Source organism: Homo sapiens, chromosome 6 (genome assembly GCF_000001405.40).
Source record: "Homo sapiens chromosome 6, GRCh38.p14 Primary Assembly".
Classification (NCBI taxonomy): Eukaryota; Metazoa; Chordata; class Mammalia; order Primates; family Hominidae; genus Homo; species Homo sapiens.
In genome coordinates, this window is record NC_000006.12 from 71,126,201 (window position 1) to 71,133,621 (window position 7,421).

Consider the following 7,421-nt stretch of genomic DNA (forward strand, 5'->3'; position numbering starts at 1 on the left):
TATTGACTCTGCAAGTACATACTTGCCAGTCACTGTATTTACAGCGAATTCTAACAGCATGTCTATTGCTGGTACTGCCCAGTGATAAAAGATTCTATTTTCAAAAAACAGTTGTAGGTACTCTATTTTCAACCTTAGTAATGTGACAATTTTATGGTACCTTAAAGATAACTTTCTTTTAGGCTTTGAAAGTAGATTAACAACTGAGGGATGAAATACTTGCATTAAAATAATGAATAAAGAGACATGGAAGTCATTTAATAATAAAAAGCTTATACATGATTTTACATTCATAGCGTATTGCCAGTTCCAATCTCTTAGGTATAAAAGATTCCTATGTCTGCTTCTTATCTCTGTTCCATTTGGTTAATTATAACTTCCCTTTGAGTTCATTCATTCATTTATTTAATCATTCAGTAAGTACTTATTAAGCAGAAAGTATCAGGTGCCATGTTAGGTTGCAATCCTCAAGGGGCTCCTGGTCTAGTGGGAGGACTGTCACGTGGACAGGCTGTGATAAAAGGGTTTAACCATCCCTATTGAAGGACATCTGGACTGTTTCTAGTGTTTGGCTTTTAATGAATAAACCAGGCCAGCAGCCTGGTTTGTAGCCTTGTGCACTTTTTGTTAAGCTCATGTAACTGTGTATTTTGGTCTTTTATTTTTTAAAAAATTATTATTTTTTAATGGGAATCACACAGACTGCCTTCTTTCCCTCTCATTCTTCTTGAGGAAGAGAACAATTGTCAATGGTAAACGGCAGTTGCAGCCAAGCAACACCAAGGGTTGGCTTCACACTCTGGAGAGAGCACACTGCATTTCCTTCTAGTGGTTTCTGGTGCTCTACATATTCAGAGAAACCTCTAGTAACGAACTGAAGAAAGGATCCCTGAAAGTGTAGTCTTGGTCTTTGATTTTTAATAAATGAGTTGCTGTCATACACTAGCTTTCTTAGCATTAATGTGTGGAAACTCCTCTAGATCAAGAGTAAGGCGTACTTCACTCTTTTTGATGAACTACATATTAATCCTTGGCGTGGATAGGACTTAATTTACTCAACCTTTCCCCTAATTTGGGTATTTAATTTGTTTCTAGTTGTTTTGCCATCGTGAACAATTCTCAACACCATATCCTCATATCCATACTCTCATGCCTCTGTGCTCATGCCACTTAGATCTTCTTTGAGATACCCTGCTGCAGCGAGCATAGTTAATTGACAGTCTCTAGCTCTTTGCTCTTTTGGTTCATCACTATGACATTCGTTAACAAGGCAATTTGTTACAAGGATTTGTAATCCCCAGCCAATGACTGAGTGTGTCTCATTCTTTTGCAATGCAGGACTCTTCTAATGAGCAGTCTGCTTGGGGACTCCTTATCAGCACAGCTGAAATGTTCTCAGAGTTGTGCTGCAGTCTCAGGCTCTTCTTACGCAATCCTTCCTTCCCTTTCTCCTTTCACAGGTATCAGATCTGCATCACAGTCCATAGAGTTTCCACTTACTCCTGCTTCCTCTGTCATCATTCTTCACAGGCACTTTCTCTAATAAATCTTTTGCATGTTAATCTTGATGTGGCATACTAGCACACTGACCTGAACTAGCACACTGAGCTTTTATTTCCATGCATATTTTTGATTTTAACAGATGTTTCCAGATTGCTTTCCAAAAAGGCAGTACAAATTTACATTATCATCAGCAGTGTACAAAGATACCCTTTTCTCTGACTCCCCATCAGTGATTGGTAAGATAAACTTTTGAATTTTTGCCGGTCTGATAGGCTTAAAGTGAATCACGCTATCAGTGTATTTTGGAATCTTTTCTTTATTCTTTTTGCCTTTAAGGTATTATTTTCTGTGAATTGTCTATTTGCATTTTGGATCTTTTTTTTTTTTTCATTTGTGTTGCCCCAAATCTATTTTTTTTTATTATACTTTAAGTTTTAGGGTACATGTGCACATTGTGCAGGTTAGTTACATATGTATACATGTGCCATGCTGGTGCGCTGCACCCACTAACTTGTCATCTAGCATTACGTATATCTCCCAATGCTATCCCTCCCCCCTCCCCCCATCCCACCACAGTCCCCAGAGTGTGATATTCCCCTTCCTGTATCCATGTGATCTCATTGTTCAATTCCCACCTATGAGTGAGAATATGCAGTGTTTGGTTTTTTGTTCTTGCGATAGTTTACTGAGAATGATGCTTTCCAATTTCATCCATGTCCCTACAAAGGACATGAGCTCATCATTTTTTATGGCTGCATAGTATTCCATGGTGTATATGTGCCACATTTTCTTAATCCAGTCTATCATTGTTGGACATTTGGGTTGGTTCCAAGTCTTTGCTATTGTGAATAATGCCGCAATAAACATACGTGTGCATGTGTCTTTATAGCAGCATGATTTATAGTCATTTGGGTATATACCCAGTAATGGGATGGCTGGGTCAAATGGTATTTCTAGTTCTAGATCCCTGAGGAATCGCCACACTGACTTCCACAATGGTTGAACTAGTTTACAGTCCCACCAACAGTGTAAAAGTGTTCCTATTTCTCCACATCCTCTCCAGCACCTGTTGTTTCCTGACTTTTTAATGATTGCCATTCTAACTGATGTGAGATGATATCTCATAGTGGTTTTGATTTGCATTTCTCTGATGGCCAGTGATGATGAGCATTTTTTCATGTATTTTTTGGCTGCATAAATGTCTTCTTTTGAGAAGTGTCTGTTCATGTCCTTTACCCACTTTTTGATGGGGTTGTATTTACAGATTCAATGCCATCCCCATCAAGCTACCAATGACTTTCTTCACAGAATTGGAAAAAACTACTTTAAAGTTCATAGGGAACCAAAAAAGAGCCCGCATCGCCAAGTCAATCCTAAGCCAAAAGAACAAAGCTGGAGGCATCACACTACCTGACTTCAAACTATACTACAAGGCTACAGTAACCAAAACAGCATGGTACTGGTACCAAAACAGACATATAGATCAATGGAACAGAACAGAGCCCTCAGAAATAACGCCGCATACCTACAACTATCTGATCTTTGACAAACCTGAGAAAAACAAGCAATGGGGAAAGGATTCCCTATTTAATAAATGGTGCTGGGAAAACTGGCTAGCCATATGTAGAAAGCTGAAACTGGATCCCTTCCTTACACCTTATACAAAAATCAATTCAAGATGGATTAAAGATTTAAACGTTAGACCTAAAACCATAAAAACCCTAGAAGAAAACCTAGGCATTACCATTCAGGACATAGGCGTGGGCAAGGACTTCATGTTCAAAACACCAAAAGCAATGGCAACAAAAGCCAGAATTGACAAATGGGATCTAATTAAACTAAAGAGCTTCTGCACAGCAAAAGAAACTACCATCAGAGTGAGCAGGCAACCTACAACATGGGAGAAAATTTTCGCAACCTACTCATCTGACAAAGGGCTAATATCCAGAATTTACAATGAACTCAAACAAATTTACATGGATCATTTTATTCTTATCAACTTTTTTTTTTTTTTTTTTGAGATGGAGTCTCCCTCTGACATCCAGGCTGGAGTGCAGTGGCGCAATCTTGGCTCACTGCAACCTCCGCCTCCCAGGTTCAAGCGATTCTCCTGCCTCAGCCTCCCTAGTAGCTGGGACTACAGGCACGTGCTACCACGCCTGGCTAATTTTTTTGTGTTTTTAATAGAGATGGGGTTTCACTGTGTTAGTCAGGATGGTCTTAATCTCTTGACCTCATGATCCACCCACCTCGGCCTCCTAAAGTGCTGGGATTACAGGCATGAGCCACCGCACCCGGTCCTCTTATCAACTTTTAATCCCCGTTTAGGTATTATATATGAAGAAGAACATTAAATTAGAAGTTTTGACTAGGGCACTAAGTTAACACAGCTATGACACACCTCGTATGAATGGCCAGAGCAAGAAGCAAATTTTCAAAAGAACATTAAAAAGTTAGTTTTGCAACCCATAGTTCTCTCAATTAAGCTGAGACTATAAAGGCTATTGGAGGAGAAAATGTTTTAGAAAGAGCTATGAGATCTTCTCTTCACCTTCGGTCGAAAAAGGTCTTAAGCGGGCTTACCTGAAGAACATGTGTCATTTGTGGTTAGAGAAATGTACTAGTATGTAACTCATGTGTGAAAAATTATAAGGCAGAGACTGGTTGGATGCCCTGACAGAAATAGAGAAAAAGAGAGAGAGAATGTTTGTTTGCCTTAGGCAGTCTGCAGTCCCAGAGCTGTCAAAACAAGAAATATGTGAGTGTTTCTAATGGACCTGGTAAGGGTCCCAAAGGGAGAGTCAGCTGGCCCAGAGCTGTTTTAAATCCTTGCTGGAGGTGTTGCAGGTCTTCCTGGACACCAGAATACAGTCTGAAATGAATGGGCCACAAGAAAACTAGATCTGATGGTGCAACTGGAGGAAAATGCATCCCTCATGTTCAAGAATATACTGTAAAATATTCTTTGTAGGTGCCTCTAAAGGACTTGTGAAATACCCAATATTTTCCACACTTAACTTTTGTATATTGATTTTTAAATTAATTTTAAAATTTTGAGAAATTATAAATTTACTTACAGTTACAAGAAATAATAGAGATTTCTTATACACATTTAGTTTCCCCTAATGCTAACATCTTGTAAAACTATAGTACAATATCAGAACCAGCGTAGTGACATAGATGCAATCAAGGTGCAGAATATTTCCTTTACCATGAGGATTCCTCGTGTAGCCCTTTATAGCCACACCCACTTCCCTCCTGCCCACCACTCCCTTCTTAACTCCTAGCAACCATTAATTTTCTCTCCATTTCTGTAATTGTGTCATTTCAAGAATGTCATGTAAATGGAATCAAATAGCATGTAATCTTTTGAAATTGGCTTTTTTTTTTTCTCAGCATAATTCTCTGAACATTTATCTAGGTGGTCATGTTTATCAATGATCATTACTTTTTATTGCTTTGTAGTGTCCATATGGGCATACCACAGTTTGTTTAACCATCCCTATTGAAGGACATCTGGACTGTTTGTAGTGTTTGGCTTTTAATGAATAAAGCTGCTATAAAGTTTGATGCACAGGTTTTTATGTTAACAGGTTTTCATTTCTTTGTGATAAAGGCCCAGGAGTGCCACTGCTGGGTCATATGGTCATATAACTATATGTTTAGTTTTTTTTTTTTTAAGGAACTGTTTTCTAGAATGGCTGTACTATACATCTCCACCAGCAATATAGAAATGATATAATTTCTCTGCATCCTTACCAGCATTTGGTGTTACCACCATTTTTTGTTTGGTTATTTCGATAGGTATATAGTGATATCTGATGGTGGTTTTCTCTAATGATAACCTTATTAGGTTTTCCCCAAGTAGGTTTTTCCTAATGACCAACCACATGAACAACTTTTCATGTATTTATTTCCCATTTCTACCACCTTTTTGTGGAAATGTCTCTTTATGTCTTTTGCCCATACTCAAATTGGATTTTAATTTTACTTTTGAGTTTGAGAGTTTTAATATATGCTAAATATTAGTCCTTGGTCAGATATATAGTTTGCAAATGCTTTCTATTGCTCTGAACTTGTTTTGTTCTCTTTAACAGCTCTTTCACAGACCAAAAATTTTTAATTTTGATGAATTTTATCAATTTTTCTTTTATAGATTGTGCTTTTGGTGTCAAATCTAACAACTCCTTGCCTAGCCCTAAATCCAGGAGATTTTCTCCTATTTTTTTTTTTTTGAGATGGAGTCTCACTCTGTTGCCCAGGCTGGAGTGCAGTGTCACGATCTCAGTTTGCTACAACCTTCTCCTCCTGGGTTCAAGCAATTCTTCTGCCTCAGCTTCCTGAGTAGTTGGGACTACAGGCATGCGCCACCATGCCCGGCTAATTTTTTTGTATTTTTTGTGGTGCAGGGTGAGCCACTGTGCCTGGCCTCTGTTTTCTTTTCTAAAAGGGTTAAAGTTTTATGTTTTACGTATAAATCCATGATCCATTTTGAGTTAATTTTCATATAAGATGTGAGAATTAGGTTGAGGTTTTTTGTTTGTTTGTTTTTCTTTTTTTCCAGTGAATATCCAATTGCTCCAGCACTCTTTGTTGAAAAAGGCTACCTTTTTTCTCTTGAATTGCTGTGGCACCTTTGTCAAAAATCAGTGGGACATATTTGTGTGGATTTATTCCTGGGTTCTTGATTATATTTCATTGATCTATGTGTCTATCCCTTTGCAAATACAACACAGTCTTGATAGCTGTGGCTATACAGTAAATCAGGTAGACTGATTCTTCCCACTTTATTCTTTCTTCTCAAAATTTAAAACACTATTCTAGTTCTTTTGCTTTTCTATATAAATTTTAGAACAATCTTATCTATATCTAGAGAAGATCTTGCTGGGACTTCAGTTGGAGTAATGTTAAACGCATATAAATTTGAGGAGAATTGACCTATTTACTAAGTCTTTCAATTTATAAACGTGGTGTATCTATTTATATAGATTGCTAAAGATTTCTTTCATCAGCATTGTGTACATCAGCATTTCAGCTTACATTTCCTGGGCATGTTGTGTTAGATTTATACCAAAGTATTTCAGTTTTTTGAGTGATCATAAATGGTATTCTATTTAAATTTTGCTTTCCATTGTTTCATTGCTAGTGTATAGAAATACAATTAATTTTCATAAGTTTATCTTGTATCATGTAATCTTGCTGAATTCATTTATAAGTTCTAAGAGTTTTAAATCTTTTCTTCAGATTTTCTACGTAGAGAATCATGTCATTTGAAAACAGGGACAATTTTATTCTGTTCTTTCTGATATGTATGACTTTTATTTCACTGTTTTGCCCTATTGCACTGGCTAGAACTTACAGCACTATGTTGAAAAAAGTGTTGAGAGTAGAATCCTTGCTTTGATCCTAACCTTACAGAGAAGGCATTCAGTCTGTTACCACTTAGAATAATGTTAGCTTTTTATCAAGTTGAGAAAGATCCTTTCTTTTTCTCTGGAAATGGTAAACATCTGAGTAAATGCAAAAGAGCTTTTGCATTTCTGCTTTTTGCTTCTTAACTACTTTATAAATTATATAACTTTTTAAAGTAAAAATTAGAATACTGACTTTTGGGGTTTACAATATATGTAGGTGTATTTCATTTAGTAACTTAATATCATGACTGGAAAAATGTTAAATTGATCTATATGATTGCAAGATTTCTATAATTTATAAGAAGTAATAAAATATTAACTGTAAGTGAAATGTGAAAAGTTAATAAAATATAATAAAATGGCAGACCAAACCTAAACATATCAATAATTATGCTAAATGTTAATTGACTAATCACATCAATTAAGACAGAGATTTTTGGAACAGATAAAAAAAGATACAATTATATGGTATCTATAATGGGTATATTTAAATGTAAAGACACA

At 36.5% G+C, this 7,421-nt stretch overlaps 1 non-coding gene across 1 annotated transcript; it reads right to left on the reverse strand.

Annotated features, from left to right (window-relative positions):
- Window positions 1-692: 692 nt before the first annotated feature.
- On the reverse strand, window positions 693-905 carry LOC124901508 (small nucleolar RNA U3). Its single transcript, XR_007059939.1, has one exon. It is a non-coding gene; the product is annotated as a small nucleolar RNA U3 (small nucleolar RNA).
- Window positions 906-7,421: the final 6,516 nt, after the last annotated feature.